The 23,366-nt window shown below is 47.1% G+C and overlaps 1 pseudogene, besides 4 other annotated features; it reads left to right on the forward strand.

Annotated features, from left to right (window-relative positions):
* Positions 1 to 505: an enhancer, noted in NCBI's record as "NANOG-H3K27ac hESC enhancer chr4:40000455-40000959 (GRCh37/hg19 assembly coordinates)". NCBI's record gives its function as "activates a minimal SCP1, AML or CMV promoter by ChIP-STARR-seq in primed H9 embryonic stem cells {active_cell/tissue: H9 hESC(primed)}" and the evidence as "EXISTENCE:reporter gene assay evidence [ECO:0000049][PMID:30033119]".
* Positions 1,143 to 1,656: an enhancer, noted in NCBI's record as "H3K27ac-H3K4me1 hESC enhancer chr4:40001597-40002110 (GRCh37/hg19 assembly coordinates)". NCBI's record gives its function as "activates a minimal SCP1, AML or CMV promoter by ChIP-STARR-seq in naive H9 embryonic stem cells {active_cell/tissue: H9 hESC(naive)}" and the evidence as "EXISTENCE:reporter gene assay evidence [ECO:0000049][PMID:30033119]".
* Positions 1,657 to 2,172: an enhancer, noted in NCBI's record as "H3K27ac-H3K4me1 hESC enhancer chr4:40002111-40002626 (GRCh37/hg19 assembly coordinates)". NCBI's record gives its function as "activates a minimal SCP1, AML or CMV promoter by ChIP-STARR-seq in naive H9 embryonic stem cells {active_cell/tissue: H9 hESC(naive)}" and the evidence as "EXISTENCE:reporter gene assay evidence [ECO:0000049][PMID:30033119]".
* Positions 2,173 to 2,686: an enhancer, noted in NCBI's record as "H3K27ac hESC enhancer chr4:40002627-40003140 (GRCh37/hg19 assembly coordinates)". NCBI's record gives its function as "activates a minimal SCP1, AML or CMV promoter by ChIP-STARR-seq in primed H9 embryonic stem cells {active_cell/tissue: H9 hESC(primed)}" and the evidence as "EXISTENCE:reporter gene assay evidence [ECO:0000049][PMID:30033119]".
* On the forward strand, positions 21,358 to 22,744 carry KRT18P25 (keratin 18 pseudogene 25; annotated as a pseudogene).

The following is a 23,366-nucleotide window of genomic DNA, read 5'->3' on the forward strand; positions in this document are numbered from 1 at the left end:
AGAGATTATAAGGCCTGAATCATGTGACAGGCAGCTGTTACCTAGGCAACTAGAAACTTTGTTTCTCTGATTATAGATTATTCTTATTCCTTATCTACATTGTTTTTAAAATACTGCAAAGGACTAAAAGGGCCAGGGCAGACCTCTTCCCTCTTCACAGTTAATCTTCATTATAGATTAACTTCCCTCTTACTTTTCTCACACAAAGACTTCATGGCTATCACATCCTCTTAAGATGGAATGTTAAGTACATTCTTTTAAATTGGAAAGGTAATGAAAACTAGCACAAAGAAAAGAAAACAGGCTGGGAGTGGTGGCTCATGCCTGTAATCCCAACACTTTGGGAGGCCAGGGTGGGCGGATCACTTGAGGCCAAGAGTTCCAGACTAGCCTGGCCAATACGGTGAAACTCCGTCTCTACTGAAAATACAAATATTTGCTGGGTGTGGTGGCAGACCACCTGTGGTCCCAGCTACTTGGGAGGTTAAGGCAGGAGAATTGCTTGAACCTGGGAAACAGAGGTTGGAGTGAGCCAAGTTTGCACCAGTGCATTCCAGCCTGGGCAACAGAGTGAGACTTTGTCTAAAGAAAAAAAAAAAAAGAAAAGCGGCCGGGCGCAGTGGCTCACGCCTGTAATCCCAGCACTTTGGGAGGCCGAGGCAGGCGGATCACGAGGTCAGGAGATCGAGACCATCTTGGCTAACATGGTGAAACCCCGTTTCTACTAAAAATACAAAAAATTAGCCAGGCGCGGTGGCAGGCGCCTGTAGTCCTAGCTACTCAGGAGACTGAGACAGGAGAATGGCTTGAACCCGGGAGGCGGAGCTTGCAGGGAGTCGAGATCGCGCCACTGCACTCCAGCCGCCTGGGCGACGAAGCGAGACTCCGTCTCAAAAAAAAAAAAAAAAAAAAGAAAAGCAAGAAAAAAGAAAACAAGCCATATGGGAAAAAAAGTAAACTATAACTAATTAAATTGTTGTAATTCATAAACCAGGCTAGTATATAAAATGTTATAATCCTACTAAACTTGTTTTCTTCTGTCTTTGTAAGAAGGAATTTAAAGGCAGGGTGCAGTGGCTCATGCTTGTAATCTCAGTACTTTGGGAGGCCAAGGCAGGAGGATCTTGTGGGCCTGGGAGTTTGACACCAGCCTGGGCAATATAGTAAGATCTCATCTCTTAAAAAAAATTAAAAACTGGCCAGGCGCGGTGGCTCACGCCTGTAATCCCAGCACTTTGGGAGGCTGAGGCAGGAGGATCACGTGAGATCAGGAGTTTGAGACCAGCCTGGCCAACATGGGAAAACCCCATCTCTACTAAAAATACAAAAAATTAGTGGGGCATGGCAGCAGGCGCCTGTAATCCCAGCTACTTGGGAGGCTGAGGCAGGAGAATCACTTGAACGCGGGGGTGGAGTTTTCGGTGAGCCAAAATCGTGCCACTGCACTCCAGCTTGGGCGACAGAGCAAGACTCTGTCTCAAAAAATAAAATAAGGCCGTGCGCAGTGGCTCATGTCTGTAATCCCAGCACTTTGGGAGGCCGAGGCAGGTGGATCATCTGAAGTCAGGAGTTCGAGACCAGCCTGGCCAACATGGTGAAACCCCGTCTTAACCAGGTGTGTTGGAGCGTGCCTGTAATCCCAGCTGAGGCTGGGGCAGGAGAATCGCTTGAAGCCGGGAGGCGGCGGTTGCAGTGAGCAAAGATTGCACCATTGCACTCTAGCCTCAGCAACAGGGCGAGATGTTGTCTCCAAAAAAAATAAATAAATAAAATTAAAATTAAAGAAAAATAGAAAGAAAGAAACTTAACTTTTAACTTTAGAACACTGACCCCATTTTCCTGTAGCCTTTGTCTCCCAAGTGGCTATTTCCAATTTTTTGCTCGAATAAAGTCTTTAAGGTGGATTCTGATCCTTTTGATTATTTCAGGTTGACACTAGTGTGCCATGAGCAATGGGAAAGTGGTGAATGAATCCAACAAGTTAATTTTGCCTGTTCTGAAACTTCATACTGTCATCCTTCAGTATCTGCTGGGGATTGGTTCCCAGAGCTGCATGGACACGAAATATCCTCGCATGCTCAACTTCCTTATATAAGAGGCCTAGTATTTGCATATACTAGATGTACCTCCTCCCATATCCTTTTTTCTGTTTTTTTTTTTTTTTTTTTTTTGGAGACGGAGTCTCACTTGGTCCCCAGGGTGGAGTGCAGTGGCGCAAAATCGACTCACTGCAACCTCCACCTCCTGAGTTCAAGGAATTCTCCTGTCTCAGCCTCCTGAGTAACTGGGATTACAGGCACCCGCCACTACACCCAGCTAATTTTTGTATTTAGTAGAGGTGGTGTTTTGCTATATTAGCCAGGCTGGTCTCTAACTCCTGACCTCAAGTGATCCATGTGCCTTGGCCTCCCAAAGTGCTGGGATTACAGGAATGAGCTACCATGCCTGGCCCCTGTCATAGATTTTAAATCAAATTTAGGTTACTTATAATAACAAATACAATGCAAATACTATTTAAATAGTTGCTATACTGTATTGAGTTTTATTTGTATTTTTTAAAATTGTTTTTCTAAACAATCTTTTTTTTGCCTTGCTATTGAGCTGTATTTTTTTTTTAATTTTCCTTTAAATACAATATTTAGGCCTGGCATGGTGGCTCACGCCTGTCATCCCAGCACTTTGGGAGTTCGAGGCAGGTAGATCACTTGAGGTCACGAGTTGGACACTGGCTTGGGCAACATGGCAAAACCCTGTCTCAACTAACAATACAAAAATTAGCCGGATGTGGTGGTGCACGCCTGTAATCCCAGCTACTCAGGAGACTGAGGCACCAGAATCTCTTGAATCCCAGAGGCAGAGGTTGTGTTGAGCCAAGACGGCACCACTGCACTCCAGCAGGCCATCAGAGGGAGACTGGGCGACAGAAGGAGACCCTCTCTAAATAAATAAATGAAGATTACACATTTTTTTTTTTTTTGAGATGGAGTCTCGCTCTGTCCCCCAGGCTGGAGTGCAGTGGCATGATATCAGCTCACTACAACCTCCGCCTCCCGGGTTCAAGCAATTCTCCTGCCTCAGCCTCCCGAGTAGCTGGGACTACAGGCACGTGCCACCACTCCCGGCTAATTTTTTGTATTTTTAGTAGAGACAGGGTTTCACTGTGTTAGCCAGGATGGTCTCGATCTCCTGACCCCGTGATCCGCCCACCTCAGCCTCCCAAAGTGCTGGGATTACAGGTGTGAGCCAAAGCACCAGGCCAGATTAAAGATTTTTTAAAATTTAAATGTACATTTATTTATTTATTTTATTTTTTTTTGAGACGGAGTCTGGCTCTGTCGCCCAGGCTGGAGTGCAGTGGCGTGATCTCGACTCATTGCAAGCTCCGCCTCCCAGGTTCACGCCATTCTCCTGCCTCAGCCTCCCCAGTAGCTGGGACTACAGGAGCCCGCCGCCACGCCCAGCTAAGTTTTTGTATTTTTAGTAGAGACGGGGTTTCACTGTGTTAGCCAGGATGGTCTCAATCTCCTGACCTCGTGATCCACCCGCCTAGGCCTCCCAAAGTGCTGGGATTACAGGTGTGAGCCACTGCGCCTGGCCTTTACGTTTACATTTAAACTTTAACTTTAATTTTTTGAGACAGGGTCTTGCTCTGTCACCCAGGCTGGAGTGCAGTGGTGTGATCACGGCTCTGTGCAGCCTCAACTTCCCAGGCTCCAGTGATCTTACCACCTCAGCCTCCCCAGTAGCTGGGACCACAGGCTCAGGCCACCACGACTGGCTACTTTTTGTATTTTTTGTAGAGATGGGTTTTCACCATGTTGCCCAGGCTGGTCTCAAAACTCCTGGGGTCAAGCAATCCACATGCTTCAGCCTCCCAAAATGCTGGGGTTACAGGCCTGAGCCACCATGCCCAACTGCTTTGTTTTTATTTCCTGAATTTTTTTTTTTTTGAGACGGAGTCTCGCTCTTGTTGCTCAGGCTGGAGTGCTATGGCATGATTTGAGCTCACTGCAGCCTCTGCCTCCTGGGTCCAAGCGATTCTGCTGCCTCAGCCTCCCAAGTACCTGGGATTACAGGCATGCGCCACCACGCCTGGCTAATTTTGTATTTTTAGTACAGACGGGTTTTCTCCACATTGGTCAGGCTGGTCTGAAACTCCTGACCTCAGGTGATCTGCCTGCCTAGGCCTCCCAAAGTTCTGGGATTACAGGCATGAGCCACCTCACCTGGCCTGAATATTTTGTATTTGTGGTTGGTTGAATCCATGAATGACGAACCTATGGATAAGGAGAGCCGACAGGATAAGTGAAATTTAAAGAGTATACAACATATATGCTTGTGTGTAAGGCTTTTAAAACTTAGAATAATGTGGGCCGGGCCTGGTGGCTTAGGCCTGTAATCCTAGCACTGTGGGAGGCCGATTTACGGGGATCACCTGAGGTCAGGAATTCGAGACCAGCCTGGCCAACATGGTGAAACCCCATCTCTACTAAAAATTACAAAAAAATTATCTGGGTGTGGTGGTGTGCGTCCGTAATCCCAGCTACTTGGGAGGCTGAGGCAGGAGAATTACTTGAACCTGGGAGATGGAGGTTGCAGTGAGCTGAGATCACACCATTGCACTCCAGCCTGGGCGACAGGGCAAGACTCTGTCTCAAAAAAAACAAAAACAAAAACTTAGCATAATGTTTTCAGATTTCATCCATGCTGTTGTATTTGTAAGCATTTGTTCCTGAGCATTATTTTATTGTAAGGATATACCACGATCTATTTATCTATTCACGGGTTGATGGACATTTGGGTTATTTCCAGATTTTGGCCATTGTGAATAGAGCTGCAATGAACATTCTTGTATAAGAGATGTGAGATTTTTAGTCCACTGTTTTCCCCACCTCACTGCAGAGTAAAAGCAAGAATATACTCTTTGTTATACAGCAATTTTAATAAAAGAGCTAGGAATAGTTTAATACCTATCTGATCCTTTCATTGACCTCATGAAAGCACTTGGGTTCTAGCAACTGCAGGTAAAAAGAGCTGGGTCAAGTAATTCAGCACGGCCATAGCATCACCCTGGCCTGAGTCCATATCACCAAAATTTGATATATGAATCACACTTTGAGATGGAAGGTGTCCAGATACCAAAGGGTCCTTGTTGATGCTTGGAGGTGGGGAATTGATCTTGTCTATACCCTCAAGTTTAATAAAGAATTCCTAACTGCAGAAGAGATTCTTTATCTGCTGCCAAATAGTCTTAATCCTACTTCCTCTTTCCTACTTCCCCCACAGGACTGACCTCAAGCAAAGATCTGTAACTCTAGCCTTACTGTGCAAGCCCATGGCACTTTTAGTATATCTGCATGTTCAGCAGAAGCTAGATATGTCCCTGCTTTGCAACAACTGGTAATGGTGAGTCGGCTGTGTAAGGTCAAGTGCTACTCCCATATGCATGGAATGCTTTCTGATGATCACAACTGTAGTCACTTTAAATTGAATTACAACACTGTACAAATATGATAGTATTAAGAATATCAGTCTTCAGTGAATTTTTCATATTTCTCTCTCTATATAAACAAAGACAGTATTTTTAAACTTTTTTTTTTAGACAAGGTCTTGTTCCATTGCCTAGGCTAGAGTGCAGTGGCGTGATCACAGCTCACTACAGCCACCACCTCCCAGGCCCAAGCAATCCTCACACCTCAGCCTCCCAAGTAGCTGGGACCACAGGTGCACACCACCACGTCCAGCTAATTTTTTTTTTTTTTTTTGAGACCGAGTCTCGCGCTGTCAGCAGGCTGGAGTGCAACCTCTGCCTCCCGGGTTCAATCGATTATGCTGCCTCAGCCTCCTGAGTAGCTGGGAACAGGTGTGCGCCACCACGCCCAGCTAATTTTTGTATTTTTAGTAGAGATGGGGTTTCACCATGTTGGCCAGGATGGTCTCGATCTCTTGACCTCGTGATCCACCCAGCCCATTTTTTTTCTTTTTTTTTTTTTGAGACAGAGTTTCACTCTTGTTGCCCAGGCTGGAGTGCAGTGGCATGATCTCAGCTCACTGCAACCTCCGCCTCCCGGGTTCAAACGATTCTCCGGCCTCAGCCTCCCGCATAGCTGGGATTACAGGTGCCCGCCACCATACCCGGCTAATTTTTGTATTTTTAATAGAGACCGGGTTTCGCCATATTGGGCAGGCTAGTCTAGAACTCCTCACCTCAGGTGATCCACACACCTCGGTCTCCCAAAGTGCTGGGATTACAGGCCTGAGCCACCGCACCTGGCCACATCCAGTTAATTTTTACATTGTTTTTGTAGAAATGGGAACTCTCCATGTTGCCCAGGCTGAAAACTTTTTTTTTCCTTTGAAAAGAAACATATCTTGCAGGAATTTTCTTTCAAGGGAGGACTCCTAAGGCCTTTTTGTGTGCTAATTTCTTTTTGTTTTGCTATATTTCTTCTTATCTCTTTTTTTTTTTTTTTTTTTTTTTTGAGACAGGGTCTAGCTCTCACTCAGGCTGCAGTGCAACGGCCACGATCTTGGCTCACTGCAATCTCAGCCTCCTGGGTTCAAGCAATTTTCCTTTCTTAGCCTGCTTAGTAGCTGGGATTACAGGTGTGTGCCACCACGACTAGCTAATTTTTGTATTTTTAGTAGAGATGGGATTTTGCCATGTTGTCCAGGCTAGTCTCAAACTCCTGGCCTCAAGTGATCCACCTACCTCGGCCTCCCAAAGTTCTGGAACTACAGGCCTGAGCCACCATGCCCAGCCTTCACATTCTTTTCAATGCACAGCTGAGTCCACAAGAAAGTAAGTGTTACAGATCGTTAGTAGAGACGGAGTTTTGCCACGTTGCCCAGGTTGGTCTCAAACTATTGGGCCTAAGTGATCTGTCCGCCTCTGTCTCTCAAATTGCTGGGATTACAGGTGGGAGCCACCATGCCTGGTGCTAACATATGCCCAACAGTGGTTTAGCAGCAGAGAATAACATGAAATGGAATATTCAAAGAAATAATGTCTCAATATTCTAGAATCAATGGATTACAGTGAATAATGATATATTCTTACATGGCCTATAAGACCTCAACTGATAGCCCCTCTTAAGCTTTTTAATTTTTTCCTGCCATCATTCCCTCAACTTTATATGTCACTCACTAACTGGGGCAAGTTTGTTCAACCTGCAGCCCCAGATGGCTTTGAATGCAACCCAACACAAATTCGTGAACTTTCTGAAAACATTATGAGATTTTTTGGAGATTTTTTGGAGGTGTCTGATTTACATAGGGCTCACAGATTGGTTCCATCAGGTATGATGTCTACATAGCTCTCAGGGAAGGCTGGCGTCCCCACCCTAATCTTATTATGCAAAGGAACTTTCCCCTTGGTTGGAGCCATCTTGTCTGCTCCTTACTGTACAGGGCTGGCAGAGAAGGGAAAATGGAACTGCCATTTTGAACATGACTAGCACAACTGCCGGCATCTATGTCTGCAGCTCTATTTCATAGACTGCTCTTTGTTAGAAAGGAAAATGATTTGGGGCTGCTTTTCTTCCCTCCCTCCCTCCCTCCTTCCTTCCTTCCTTCCTTCCTTGATGGAGTTTTGCTTTTGTTACCCAGGCTGGAGTGCAAAGGCGCCATCTCGGCTCACTGCAACTTCTGCCTCCCAGGTTCAAGCGATTCTCCTGCCACAGTTTCTTGAGTAGCTGGGATTACAGGTGCCCACCACCATGCTCGGCTAATTTTTGTATTTTTAGTAGAGACTGAGTTTTACCAGTTGGCTAGGCTGGTCTTGGGGGCTGCTTTTCATTAAAAGAAAAACTTTGGCTGGGCGCGGTGGCTCACTCCTGTGATCCCAGCACTTTGGGAGGCTGAGGCAGGCAGATCACTTAAGGTCAGGAGTTCAAGACCAGCCTGGCCAACATAGTGAAACCCCATCTCTACTAAAAATACAAAAATTAGCTGAGCGTGGTGGTGCATGCCTGTAATCCCAGCTACTTGGGAAGCTGAGGCAGAAGAATAGCTTGAAACTGGGAGGCAGAGGTTGCAGTGAGCTGAGATTGCACCACCTTACTCCAGCCTGGGCAATAGAGGGAGCCTCCATCTCAAAAAAAAATAAATAAATAAAGGAAAACCTTATCCAGGACTTCCGTACCCTTACTATTTGCCTAAGTAATTTCTTCTTTTGTTTTTTTGAGACAAAGTCTTGCTTTGTTACCCAGGCTGGAGTGCAGCGGCTCAATCTCTGCTCACTGAAACCTCCACCTCTGGGGTTCAAGCGATTCTCCTTCCTCAGTCTCCTGAGTAGCTGGGACTGCAGGCAACTGCCACGATGCCTGGCTAATTTTATTTTTGTATTTTTAGTAGAGACGGGGTTTCACCATGTTGGTCAGGCTGGTTTTGAACCCCTGACCTCAGGTGATCCACCCCCCTCGGTCTCCCAAAGTGCTGGGATTACAGACGTGAGCCACCGCTCCTGGCCATCTTTTAAGGTATTTAAATCATTGGTCCCCAGCCTTTTTGGCACCAGGGACTGGTTTCACAGAAGACAGTTTTTCCACAGACATGTGGTGGGTTGGGGGGCATAGTTTTGGGATGATTCAAGCACATTACATTTATTGTGTATTTTATATTATTATTACATTGTAATATATAATGAAATAATTATACAACTCACCATAATGTAGAATCAGTGGGAGACCTGAGCTTGTTTTTCTGCAACTAGATAGTCCCATCTGGGGGTGATGGGAGACAGTGACAGATCATCAGGCATTAGATTCTCATATGGAGCACATGACCTTGATCCCTCACAATAGGGTTCATGCTTTTATGAGAATCTAATGCTGCCACTGATCTGACAGGGGGTGAACTCAGGCATTAATGCAAGTGATGGGGAACGGCTCTATATACAGGTGAAACTTTGCTGGCTCCCCCTCTGCTCACCTCCTGCTGTGCAGCCCAGTTCCTAACAGGCTGAGGACAGAACCGGTACCTGTTGGGGATCCCTGATTTAAATGAAATAGCTGGAACTCCATTTTGTAGTTAATGGATGGTTTATTTTCTCCCAAGAGTTTCTATATGCACGATAAATCCAGTAACCCCAGTGGTTTACTCTGGCCTGAGAACAATTGCCCTCAAATAACCAACAGGCTCATTCTATTTGTTTTGTTTGTAGATATGGGGTTTTGCTATATTGCCTAGACTGATCTTGAACTCTTGGGCTCAAGCAATCTGCCCACCTTGGCTTCCCAGAGTGCTGGGATTACAGGCATGAGCCACCATGCACGGCCTCCAGTTGCTTTTTACTGATTGCTGTGTCAGCCACGGAGGGACCCTGACTACTGAGTTTCCCAAGGAAACTCAAGGGCTGAAGCTCAAATGGCTCCCTTTGAAGTTGAGAGTCTGCTACCAGTGCCATAGTTACTTTCTCAGCACCACCATGGGTAGCCAGAAAGACAGTGGGGGCTCAGGGTACTGTTTGTGTAGGCCTGTTCCCCACACCACTCCGGCAATCTCAACAGCTGTTCCCTCCAAGCTCCCTGTGCATTTCCTGTATGATCTTGTAAGTATGAAGATCAGCAATAAAATGGTAAGTTGCCTTTGCTTTTCTCTGTAGTTGGCCTAAATCACCACAGCCCCTGACTCCCAACACTAGTTACACACACAGAGCATGGAGCAAGCCAGCCTCTCCATGGCATGCCTCAAGGGCCAGGATTTAAGTCACTCAATCCTGATCGTTCTGTCTCCTTCCCCCGCCCCTCAATTTGTGTTCTATTTTTCATCCTTCCTGCCACCCTCCTGGCTCAGGTCCTAACATTTATTCTGATCACTACAGAATAAGGAGACAGTAGTCTTCTTATTCGTGTCTTGCCTTCACCCATCATTCATACCACTCTGCTTACCTGCTTGCCACTGCTACACCCTTTTTTTTTTCTTTTTTTTTTTTTTGAGACAAAGTCTCGCTCTGTTGGCCAGTCTGGAGTGCAGTGGCACAATCTCAGCTAACTGCAACCACTGCCTCCGAGGCTCAAGCGATTCTCCTGCCTCAGCCTCCTGAGTAGCTGGGATTACAAGCATGTGCCACCACGCCCGGCTAATTTTTTTGTATTTTTAGTAGAGACAGGGTTTCACCATGTTGGCCAGGCTGATCTCAAACTCCTGACCGCAGGTGATCCGCCCACCTCAGCCTCCCAAAGTGCTGGGATTACAGGCATGAGCCACCGCGCCCAGCCAACTGCCACACCCTTACTCTTCCTTTTTTTTTTTGAGAGAAGTCTTGCTCTTGTTCCCCAGGTTTGAGTGCAATGGCTTGATCTCGGCTCACTGCAACTTCTGCCTCCTGGGATCAAACGATTCTCCTGCCTCTGCCTCCCAAGTAGCTGGGATTAAGGTGCCTTCCACCACGCCTGGCTAATTTTTGTATTTTTTAGTAGAGACAGGGTTTCACCGTGTTGGCCAGGCTGGTCTCGAATGCCTGACCTCAGGTGATCCACCCGCCTCGGCCTCCCAAAGTGCTGGGATTACAGGCGTGAGCCACCAGGCCCAGCTTTTTTTTTTTTTTTTCTTTCTTTTTTGAGACAGAGTCTCTCTCTCTCTCTGTCTCCCTGGCTGGAGTGCAGTGGTGTAATATCTTGGCTCACTGCAACCTCTGCCTCCTAAATTCAAGCTATTCTCCTGTATCAGCCTCCCAAGTAACTGGGATTACAGGTGCATGCCACCACGCCTGGCTAATTTTTTGTATTATTTGTAGACAGAGGATTTCACCAAGTTGGCCAGGCTGGTCTTGAACTCCTGACCTCAAGTGATCCACCCACCTCGGCATCCCAAAGTGCTGGAATTACAGGTATGAGTCACCATGTCTGGGCCAAATTCTTTTACGCTTTTACCAGAGTAATATTTATTTTATTTTATTTATTTTTTGAGACAGAGTTTCACTCTTGTTGCCCAGGCTGGAGTGTAGTGGTGCAATCTCGGCTCACTGCAACCTCTGCCTCCCGGGTTCAAGTGATTCTCCTGCCTCAACCTCCTGAGTAGCTGGGATTACAGGCACCTGCCACCACGCCTGGCTAATTTTTCTTTTTTCTTTTTCTCTTTTTGAGACGGAGTCTCACTCTGTCGCCCAGGCTGGAGTGCAGTGGCGCGATCCAAGCTCCGCTTCCTGGGTTCACGCCATTCTCCTGCCTCAGCCTCCTGAGTAGCTGGGACTACAGGCGCCCGCCACCATGCCTGGCTAATTTTTTGTATTTTTAGTAGAGATGGGGTTTCACTGTGTTAGCCAGGATGGTCTCGATCTCCTGACCTTGTGATCCACCCGCCTCGGCCTCCCAAACTGCTGGGATTACAGGCGTGAGCCACCACGCCTGGCAATTTTTCATATTTTTAGTAGAGACAGGGTTTCGCCATGTTGGCCAGGCTTGTCTCGAACTCCTGACCTCAGGTGATCCACCCGCCTCGGCCTCCCGAAGTAGTGGGATTACAGGCGTGAGCCACCGCATCCGACCTCATATGTATAAATTTCAAAAAGGATTATATTTTTTGCCTGATTAAAGTCACATCATAGTGAGTTAGAAAGAGCCTGCATTTTAGAGCCAGCAAACTCTGGTTCTATAGCTTGCTAGCTGCTTAGCATTTCTGTTTTTTCATGTCTTCTCCTAAGATATAGAGATAAATAATAGTAACTATCTCATGAGATTATTTATTTATTTATTTATTTATTTATTTTGAGACAGTTTTGCTCTTGTTGCCCAGGCTGGAGTGCAATGGCATGACCTCGGCTCATGGCAACCTCTGCCTCCCGGGTTCAAGTGATTCTCCTGCCTCAGCCTCCGGAGTAGCTGGGATTACAGGCACGTGCCACCATACGTGGCTAATTTTTTGTATTTTTAGTAGAGATGGGGTTTCACCATGTTGGCCAGGCTGGGTCTCGAACGCCTGACCTTAGGTGATCCGCCTGCCTCGGCCTCCCAAAGTGCTGGAATTACAGGCGTGAGCCACTGCACCTGGCCTATTTATTTTTCTGAGACAGAGTCTCACTCTGTTGCCCAGGCTGGAGTGCAGTGGTGCAATTGGGGGTCACTACAGCCTCCACCTCCCAGGCTCAGATGATGCTGCTGCCTCAGCCTCCCCAGTAGCTGGGACCACAGGCATGCACCACCATGCCCAGCTAATTTTTGTATTTTTTGTAGAGACAGGGTTTCACCATGTTGCCCAGGCTGGTGTCAAATGCCTGGGCTCAAGTGACCCTTTTGCCTTGGCCTCCCAAAGTGCTGCGATTACATGTGTGAGCCACCATGTCCAGCCAGAGAGCCGCCATTTGAAGAGGGTTTTCAATAATGAAGTGAGAACATGGCAGGTAGGATGCAGACCAGTAGCCAGGACACTGTGCAGAAGCGTATCAAAGGAATGGCTACAATACGAGGCTATCCCAGAAAGAATGTCTATCCAGCTTAGGTTGAATTTGATCCCTCAGTTGGCATCACTGAGGAGGTACTTTTCTCTAAACTCTTGGGAGGTAGGCACATGGTCTTTATTTTTTTTAATTTTATTTACTTATTTTTTCGAGACGGAGTCTCACTCTGTCACCCAGGCTAGAGTGCAGTGGTGTGATCTCGGCTCACTGTAAGCTCCGCCTCCTGGGTTCATGCCATTCTCCTGCCTCAGCCTCCCGAGTAGCTGGGACTACAGGCACACGCCACCATGCCCGGCTAATTTTTTGTATTTTTAGTAGAGACGGGGTTTCACTGTGTTAGCCAGGATGGTCTCGATCTCCTGACCTCGTGATCTGCCTTCCTTGGACTCCCAAAGTGCTGGGATTACAGGCGTGAGCCACCTCCCCTGACCCAGCACATGGTCTTTAAAGTGGTGTTCTGAGGCCAGTAATGGCGGCTCATGCCTGTAATGCCAGCACTTTGGGAACGCAAGGTGGGAAGATCCCTTGAGTCTGGGAGTTTGAGATCAGCATGGGCAATATAGCGAGACTCCATCTCTATTAAAAAAAAAAAATTGCCTGCTGGGTGTGGTGGCTCACTCCTGTAATCCCAGCACTCAGCACTTTGGGAGGCCGAGGCGGACAGATCACTTGAGGTCAGAAGTTCGAGACCAACTTGGCCAACATGGTGAAACCCCCATCTCTACTAAAAATACAAAAAAAAAAAAAAAAAAAGCCAGGTGTGGTAGCGGGCACCTGTGATACCAGCTACTTGGGAGGCTGAGGCAGGAGAATTGCTTGAACCTGGGAGGTGGAGGTTGCAGTGAGCTGAGGTCACACCACTGCACTCCAGCCTGGGCAACAGAGCAAGACTCAGTCTCAAAAAAAAAAAAAAAATGCCGACTCCATCTTCACTACATATTTAGGGAGCACATAGAATAACATGAGTAGTTTTCTAGGCCTTTGAGATGACTCTTTCTAAATCCATCTCCAAATTGGTGCCATTCTGGGACTCGCCCTCAACTGGAGGTGCCCCTCAGCATTACATCTGGAACTTTATTTAAAAAAATACAAGGCCTGCCGGGCGCAGTGGCTCACTCCTGTAATCCCAGCACTCAGCACTTTGGGGGGCCGAGAGGGCAGATCACTAGGTCAGGAGATCAAGACCACCCTGGCTGACACGGTGAAACCCCGTCTCTACTAAAAATACAAAAAATTAGCCGGGCATAGTGGCGGGTGCCTGTAGTCCCAGCTACTTGGGAGGCTGAGGCAGGAGAATGGCATGAACCCAGGAGGCGGAGCTTACAGTGAGCCGAGATAGCACCACTGCACTACTGCACTCCAGTCTGGGTGACAGAGCAAGACTCCATCTCAAAAAAAAAAAAAAAAAAAAAAAAAACAAGGCCTGGCTCAGTGGCACACACCTGTAATCCCAGCACTTTGGGAGGCCAAGGCGGGTGGATCACCAGGTCAGGAGATCTAGACCATCTTGGCCAACATGGTGAAACCCTGACTCTATCAAAAATACAAAAATTAGCTGGACGTGGTGGTGGGCGCTTGTAATCCCAGCTACTTGGGAGGCTGAGGCAGGAGAATTGCTTGAACCCAGGAGGTGGAGGTTGCAGTGAGTTGATATTGCGCCACTGTACTCCAGCCTGGGCGACTGAGCAAGACCTCATCTCAAAAAACAAAAAACAAAACAAAACAAAACAAAACAAATCAAAGAAAACTAGGAATTTTATTTTATTTTGTGACAGAATCTTGCTCTGTTGCTCAGGGTGGAGTGCCGTGGTGTGATCTCCACTCATTGCAACCTCGGCCTCCCGGGTGCCAGTGATTCTCCTGCCTCAGCCTCTCCATAGCTGGGATTACAGGCGCCCACCACCACACCCAACTCATTTTTGTATTTTGTACAGACAGGGTTTCACCATGTTGGCCAGGCTGGTTTTGAACTGATGAGCTCAGGTGATCCTCCCGCCTTGGCCTCCCAAAGTGCTGGGATTATAGGTGTGAGCCATTGTGCCCGGCCTTATTTTATTTTATTTATTTTTTCTTTTAGTTTCTCTCTCCTTTTTTTGTTCTTTTTTATTTTTTTAAATTAAAAAAAATTTTGGCTGGGTGCGGTGGCTCACGCCTGTAATCCCAGCACTTGGGAGGCCGAGGTAGGCGGATCACCTGAGGTCAGGAGTTCGGGACTAGCCTGACCAACATGGAGAAACCCTGTCTCTACTAAAAAAAATACAAAAATTAGCTGGGTGCGGTGGCGCATGACTGTAATCCCAGCTACTTGGGAGGCTGAGGCAGGAGAATGGCTTGAACCCAGGGGGCGGAGGTTGCAGTGAGCCGAGATCGTGCCGTTGCACTCTAGCCTGGGCAACAAGAGCGAAACTCCGTCTCAAAATTTTTTTGAGACGGAGCCCAGGCTGGAGTATGATGGTGCTATCTCGGGTCACCGCAACCTCCTCTTCCCGGGTTCAAGTGATTCTCCTGCCTCAGCCTCCCTAGTAGCTGGGATTACAGTCATGTGCCACCACACTAGGCTAATTTTGTATTTTTAGTAGAGATGGGGTTTCACCATGTTGGCCAGTCTGGTCTCAAACTTCTGACCTCAGGTGATCCGCCTGCCTCGGCCTCCCAAAGTGCTGGGATTACAGGTGTGAGCCATCGTGCCCAGCCTATTGTATTTTTTTGAGACAGAGTCTTGCTCTGTCACCCAGGGTTGAGTGCAGTGATGCAATCTTGGCTCAGTACAACATCTACCTCCTGGACTTAAGCAATTCTCCTGCTTCAGCCTCCCAAGTAGCAGGGACTACAGGGGCCCAAAACCATGCCAGGCTAATTTGTTTTTCTGGGAATGGAGTTTTGTCCTTGTTGCCCAGGCTGGAGTGCAATGGCGTGATCTTGGCTCACTGCAACCTCCGCCCCATGGGTTCAAGCAATTCTCCTGCCTCAGCCTCCCAAGTAGCTGGGATTACAAGCATGCATCACCACGCCTTGCTAATTTTGTATTTTCAGTAAAGACGGTGTTTCTCCAGGTTGGTCAGGCTGGTCTTGAACTCCCAACCTCAGGTGATCTGCCCGCCTTGGCCTCCCAAAGTGCTGGGATTATAGGAGTGAGCCACCATGTCCGTCTGCTAATTTTTTTTGTTTTTGTTTTTGTTTTTAGATGTAGTCTTTCTCTGTTGCCCAGGCTGGAATGCAATGGAATGATCTTGGCTCACTGCAACCTCCGCCTCCCAGGTTCAGGTGATTCTTCTGTCTCAGCCTCCTGAGTAGCTGGGATTACAGGCATGTGCCACCATGCCCCACTATTTCTTTCTTTTTTTTTTTGAGACAGAGTTTTGCTCTTTCGCCCAGGCTGGAGTGCAGTGGTGTGATCTCGGCTCACTGCAACCTCCACCTTCTGTTTTCAAGAGATTCTCCTGCCTCAGCCTCCCGAGTAGCTGGGATTACAGGCGCCTATCACCATGTCCAGCTAATTTTTTTGTATTTTTAGTAGAGATGGGGTTTCACCATGTTGGCCAGGATGGTCTTGAACTCCTGACCTTGTGATCTGCCCATCTCAGCCTCCCAAAGTGCTGAGATTACAGACGTGGGCCACCACGCCCAGCTGTGCCCCACTAATTTTTTTTTTTTTTTTGAGACGGAGTTTCGCTGTTGTTGCCCAGGCTGGAGTGCAATGGTGCGATCTCGGCTCACTGCAACCTCTGCTTCCCAGGTTCACGTGATTCTCCTGCCTCAGCCTCCTGAGTAGCTGGGATTACAGACATGCACCACCACACCTGGCTAATTTTGTACTTTTAGTAGAGATGGGGTTTCACCATGTTGGCCAGGATGGTCTCGAACTCTTGACCTCGTGATCCGCCCACCTCGGCCTCCCAAAGTGCTGGGATTACAGGTGTGAGCCACCACGCCCAACAATTTTTGTGTTTTTAGAGGAGCCAACATTGCAGCACTGCACTCCAGACTGGGTGACATGTCAAGTGAGACTCTGTCTCCAAAAAATAAAAAAAAACAATAACAATAAAAATACAAAAATCAGCTGGGAGTGGTGGTGCACGCCTGTAGCCCCAGGTATTCGGGAGCCTGAGACAGAAGAATCGCTTGAACCTGGGAGGCGGAAGTTGCAGTGAGCCGAGATCATGCCACTGCACTCCAGCCTGGGAGACAGAGTGAGATTCCCTCTGAAAAAAAAAAAAGATGAAATGTATTTATACACCCATAAATACATAGATTTATGGGTGTATATACATAAATACAGTAAGTATTCATAATACTTACTGTATTTAATACATAAATACATAAATACAGTAAGTATTCAATAATATTTAATAAATACTATTATTGTGGTTGAAACTTTAGAAAATTCAAACAATTAGAAAGAGCAAGAAAAGGTAATTTTTGTGTTTTTAGTAGAGGAGGGGTTTCGCCATGTTGGCCAGGCTGGTCTCGAACTCCTGGACGTCTACTCCTGACCTCAAGTGATCCGCCTGCCTCGGTCTCCCACAGTGCTGGGATTACAGGCGTGAGCCACCGTGCCCAGCCACCAGGCTAATTTTTTTTGTATTTTTAGTAGAGACAGGGTTTCACCATGTTGGCCAGGCTGGTCTTGAACTCCTGACCTCAATGATCCACCTACCTTGGCCTCCCAGATTGCTGGGATTACAGGCATGAGCCACTGTGCCCAGCCAGGATTTTATTACAAAGGAAGAAGAAATGAGATTAGTGAATCAAAACTATACATATTTTTATTATCTATTACAGTTTATTATACATAGTATTATATCATTGTATGTTTTTAATATTTATTGAATACCAGGAAAATATACAATAAAAATGTTTTTCTTTAAAACAAATTAAAGTGGGCTGGGCATGGTGGCTCACGCCTATAATCTTAGCACTTTTGGAGGCCCAGATAGGAGGATTGCTTGAGCCCAGGAGGTTGAGACCAGCCTGGGCAATGTAGTGAGACCCCATCTCTACATACAAAAACTAGCCAGGCATGATGGTGCCTGCCTGTAATCTCAGTTACTTGGGAGGTTGAGGTGGAAAGATTGCTTGAGCCCAGGAGGTTGAGGCTGTAGTGGACTGAGACCGTGCCACTGTACTCCAGCCTGGGCAGCAGAAGGAAACTCTATCTCAAAAAAAAAAAAGAAAAAAGAAAAGGAAAAGTTAGCCAGGCATGGTGAAGCATACCTTTAGTCCCAGCTACTTGAGAGGCTGAGGTAAGAGGATAGCTTGTGCCTCGGAGGTTGAGGTTGTAGTGACTCACTGCGCTCCAACCTGGGCTACAGAGAAACACCCTGTCTCACAGACACACCAAAAAACCAAAAAACATTAATTATTTTTCCCCAAGTAAAGATCTTTCTTTTTTTTTTTTTTTTTTTTGAGATGGAGTCTCGCTCTGTCCCCCAGGCTGGAGTGCAGTGGCACATTCTCAGCTCACTGCCAGCTCTGCCTCTTGGGTTCACGCCATTCTCCTGCCTCAGCCTCCCAAGTAGCTGGGACTACAGGCACCTGCCACCACACCCGGCTAATTTTTTTGTATTTTTAGTAGAGACGGGGTTTCACCGTGTTAGCTAGGATGGTCTCGATCTCCTGACCTCATGATCCGCCCGCCTTGGCCTCTCAAAGTGCTGGGATTACAGGTGTGCGCCATCGCACCCGGCCAAAGATCTTTCTTGTTACCTACCGTGAACATAACAAAGTAGTGTTTTTAAAAGTACGAAGACTGTAGCAGAATGGCTATATTTAAGTCATGGCTCCATAGTTTACTTGCGGTTATACAACTTTGGATGTCACTTAACCTCTCTAGTTGGAATTTTGTTGTCCATAATGTGAGGATGATAATAGTACCTACCTCATAGGGTTGCTACGAAGATGAAATGGGCCAGGTGCAGTGGCTTAAGCCTGTAATCCCAACACTTTGGGAGTCTGAGGACAGCAGATCACTTGAGGGCAGGAGTTCGAAACCAGCCTCGCTAAGATGGTGAAAACCCATCTCTACTAAAAGTACAAAAATTAGCCAGGCGCAGTGGCTCACACCTGTAATCCCAGCACTTTGGGAGGCTGAGGCAGGCAGATCACCTGAGGTCAGGAGTTTGAGACCAGCCTGGCCAACATGGTAAAACTCCATCTCTACTAAAAATACAAAAATTAGCTGGCAAAGCCCAGCCCATGGTTCCAACGCCCAGCCTCTAATCTTAGCTTTTTGGGAGGCTGAGGCAGGAGAATCTCTTGAAGCCAGGAGGTGGAGGTTGCGGTGAGCCAACATCGCATGACTGCACTCCAGACTGGGTGACATGTCAAGTGAGACTCTGTCTCCAAAAAAAAAAAAAAAAAAAAAAAAACAATAACAATAAAAATACAAAAATCAGCTGGGAGTGGTAGTGCACGCCTGTAGCCCCAGGTATTCGGGAGCCTGAGACAGAAGAATCGCTTGAACCTGGGGGGCAGAAGTTGCTGTGAGCCGAGATCATGCCACTGCACTCCAGCCTGGGAGACAGAGTGAGATTCCATCTCAAAAAAAAAAAAAAAAGATGAAATGTATTTATATACACCCATAAATACATAGAGCAGTAAGTATTCAATAATATTCAATAAATACTATTATTGTGGTTGAAACTTTAGAAAATTCAAAAAATTAGAAAGAGCAAGAAAAGGTAATCAATAATCCATCTTCCAAAGGCAACCGATATTAAAATGTTGAAGTATTTACTTACAATAAAATTTCTATGGATATTTGTACCCAGTGGAAATACTTATGTATGTGATTTGTATGTTATTTTTTATTTTTATTTTTTAGACCAGATCTTGCTCTGTCATGCAGCCCCCTGCCTTAGTAGCTGGGATTACAGGTGTGCACCACCTCGCCTGACTAATTTTTGTATTTTTTGTAGAGAGGAGGTTTCACCATGTTGACCAGGCTGATCTTGAACTCCTGGGCTCAGGTGCTCCACCTGCCTTGGCCTCCCAAAGTGCTGGGATTACAGGTGTGAGCCACCGCGCCCAGCTGATGATTTGTACTCTTCTTTAGTCCAGAGCCTCTCTTCTCTTCTTCATTCTGCTTTGTGTCTCAGGAGGGACTCATGAGGACTCCATCAATGGATTCTATTGAGCTCTTCTATTTGGGTTTACCTAATGGGGACACTATGATAGGGTATTAATTTCCCTTCTCCTTTGAGGGAGTGGGGTGGGTTGGCTGTGCCCCTTTACTGAAGGTCTCACCTCTTCTCAGATGCTCTTTCTTGGGATCTCCATTTCAGCCTATGTTTGATAACTGCTGTTGATAGACAGCTGCAACAAGTTCTGCAATAATCTTTTTTTTTTTTTGAGACGGAGTCTCTCTCTGTCGCCCAGGCTGGGGTGCAGTGGCGCAATCTCGGCTCACTGCAAGCTCCGCCTCCCGGGTTAACGCCATTCTCCCGCCTCAGCCTCCTGAGTAGCTGGGACTACAGGCACCCACCACCACGCCCGGCTAATTTTTTTTTGTATTTTTAGTAAAGACGGGGTTTCACCGTGTTCGCCAGGATGGTCTTGATCTCCTGACCTCGTGATCTGCCCGCCTCTGCCTCCCAAAGTGCTGGGATTACGGGTGTGAGCCACCGGGCCCGGCCAAGTTCTGCAATAATCTTTATTGGTTTCCCTAAACCTTTTGCAAATGATCCCTTTGCTAAATCGCCTCAAATTACCCAGTTTGAGTGTACCATGTCCTTTCTTCTAGGACTTTGATACATAGGAGAAGAACAATGTTTTTTTTTCAGGAAGATTAATTTTAGTAGCTGTATAATATTCTATAGTGCCAATATACCAACAATAATAGCAATTACTTAATGTGCATGTCAGGTGCTTTATAGACATCATTTTATTCAGTAATTAGCACCTCCAGAGATTCGTATTTTACAGATGAGGAAAGTGACTTCAGGGAAGGCTGAAAACTTATTTGCCTGAGGTTACAGAGCTGACAAGCAGCAAGGTCAGTCTTCAGAATCTGTATTCTTCCCACTAAACCCAGTGGTTCCAAAGCCCAGCTAATCATGAAAGAGAAAAATCTGGCTGGCACGGTGGCTCACGCCTGTAATCCCAACACTTTGGGAGGCTAAGGCAGGCAGATCTTTTGAGCTTTTGACCAGCCTAGCCAACCTGGGAAAACCACATCTCTACTACAAATACAAAACTTAGCCAGGTGTGGTGGCGCGCACCTGTACTCTCAGCCACTTGGGAGGCTGAAACACAAGAATCATTTGAATCTGGGAGGCAGAGGTTGCAGTGAGCTGAGATCGAGCCACTGAACTCCAGACTGGGTGAGGGAGTGAGACTCTGTCCAAAAAAAAAAAAAAAAAAGAGAGAGGGAGAGAAATCTATTTCCACTCCCAGAGATCTTAACTTAGTAGCTCAAGAGTAAGACCCATAAATCTCTATTTTTATAAAAGTTCCTCAGGGGATTCTGATGATAAGCTGGATTTGGGAAAGAAAGCACAGTTTACCTCATCTTAATATACTGATGTTTCCTTTTTATTGGATATTTAGATCATCTTTTGTCCTTATAAATAAGACCAAAATAAAGATGGTTATATATAAAGCCTTGCCCATATTTAATACTGTTCACATAATACAAATCTCAAAAGAATGAATAGTGAATCAAAAACAGAAATATTTTTGGCTGGGCGTGGTGGCTCATGCCTGAGGATCACCTGAAGTCAAGAGTTTTAGATCAGCCTGGCCAACATGGTGAAACCCTGTCTCTACTAAAAAAAAAAATTAGCCAGGTGTGGTGGCACACATCTGTAATCCCAGCTACTTGGGAGGCTGAGGCATGAGAATCACTTGAGTCTGGGAGGCGGAGGTTGCAGTGAGCTGAGATCACGCCACTGCACTCCAGCCTGGGCTACGGAGCAAGACTCCATCTTAATAAATAAATAAATTAAAAAAATAAATAAATAGTCATCGGCAAAGCCTGAGTCCTGTCCTCTCACTCCTCCCCGGACAGAATGAGCTTCACCATTCGTTCCACCTTCTCCACCAGCTACTGGTCCCTGAGCTCTGTCCAGGTGCCCAGCTACGGCGCTCGGCCAGTCAGCAGCTCTGCCAGCATCTATGCAGGTGCCGGGGGCTCTGGTTCCTGGATCTCCGTGTCCCGTTCCACCAGCTTCCGGCTCGGCATTGGGTTCCAGGGCCTGGCTGCTGGGATGGCCGGGGGTCTGGCAGGAATGGGAGGCACCCAGAACTATAAGGAGGCCATGCAAAGCCTGAACGACCGCCTGGCCTCCTACCTGGACAGAGTGAGGAGCTTGGAGACCGAGAACTGGAAGCTGGAGAGCAAAATCCGGGAGCATCTGGAGAAGAAGGGACTCCAGGTCAGAGTCTGGAGCCATTACTTCAAGACCATCGAGGACCTGAGGGCTCAGATCTTCGCAAATACTGTGGACAATGCCTTCATCTTTCTGTAGATCAACAATGCCCGTCTTGCTGCTAATGACTTTGGAGTCAAGTATGAGACAGAGCTGGCCCTGTGCCAGTCTGTAAAGAACTACATCCATGGGCTCTGCAAGCTCACTGATGACACCAATGTCACTTGGCTGCAGCTGGAGACAGAGATCGAGGCTCTCAAGGAGGAGCTGGTCTTCATGAAGAAGAACCACAAAGATTAAGTAAAAGGTCTACAAGCTCAGACTGCCAGCTCTGGGTTGACCGTGGAGGTAGATGACCCCAAATCTCAGGACCTTGCCAGGATCATAGCAGACATCCAGGCCCAATATGATGAGCTGGCTTGAAAGAACTGAGGGGACCTAGACAAGTACTGGTCTCAGCAGATTGAGGAGAGACCACAGTGGTCACCACGCAGACCGCCAAGGTTGGAGCTGCTGAGATGCTGCTCACGGAGCTGAGACATACAGTCCAGTCCTTGGAGATCGACCTGGACTCCATGAGAAATCTGAAGGCCAGCTTGGAGAACAGCCTGAGGGAGATGGAGGCCCGGTACACCCTGCAGATGGAGCAGCTCAACGGGATCCTGCTGCACCTGGAGTCAGAGCTGGCACAGACCCGGGCAGAGGGACAGTGCCAGGCCCAGGAGTAGGAGGCCCTGCTGAATATCAAGGTCAAGCTAGAGGCTGAGATTGCCACCTACCTGCCTGCTGGAAGACGGCAAGGACTTCAATCTTGGTGATGCCCTGGACAACTCCATGCAAACCATCCAAAAGACCACCACCCGCAGGATAGTGGATGGCAAAGTGGTGTCTGAGACCAATGACACCAAAGTTCTGAGACGTTAAGCCAGAAGAAGCAGGGTACCCTTTGGGGAGCAGGAGGCCAATAATAAGCTCAGAGATAAAATAAATAAATATTTTTAAGATTTTTGGTTTTTTTGAGATGGAATCTTGCTCTGTTACCCAGGCTGGAGTGCAGTGGGGCGATCTCGGCTCACTGCAACCTCCACCTCCCGGGTTCAAGCAATTCTCCTACCTCACATTCTGGAGCAGCTGGGACTACAGGCACACTCCACCACGCCCAGCAAATTTTTGTATTTTTTTTTTTTTTGAGACGGAGTCTCGCTCTGTCGCCCAGGCTGGAGTGCAGTGGCGCAATCTCAGCTCACTGCAAGCTCCGCATCCCGGGTTCAGGCCATTCTCCTGCCTCAGCCTCCCGAGTAGCTGGGACTACAGGCGCCTGCAACCACACCCGGCTAATTTTTTGTATTTTTAGTAGAGAAGGGGTTTCACTGTGTTAGCCAGGACGGTCTCGATCTCCTGACCTCGTGATCCACCCGCCTCGACCTCCCAAAGTGCTGGGATTACAGGCATGAGCCACTGCGCCTCGCCAAATTTTTGTATTTTTAATAGAGATGGGGGTTTCACCATATTGGCCAGCCTGGTCTGGAACTCACCACCTTGGCCTCCCAAAGTGTTGGGATTACAGGCATGAGCTACAGTGCCCAGCCGATTTTTGATAT

The sequence above is a fragment of the Homo sapiens genome, chromosome 4 (genome assembly GCF_000001405.40).
Source record: "Homo sapiens chromosome 4, GRCh38.p14 Primary Assembly".
NCBI lineage: Eukaryota > Metazoa > Chordata > Mammalia > Primates > Hominidae > Homo > Homo sapiens.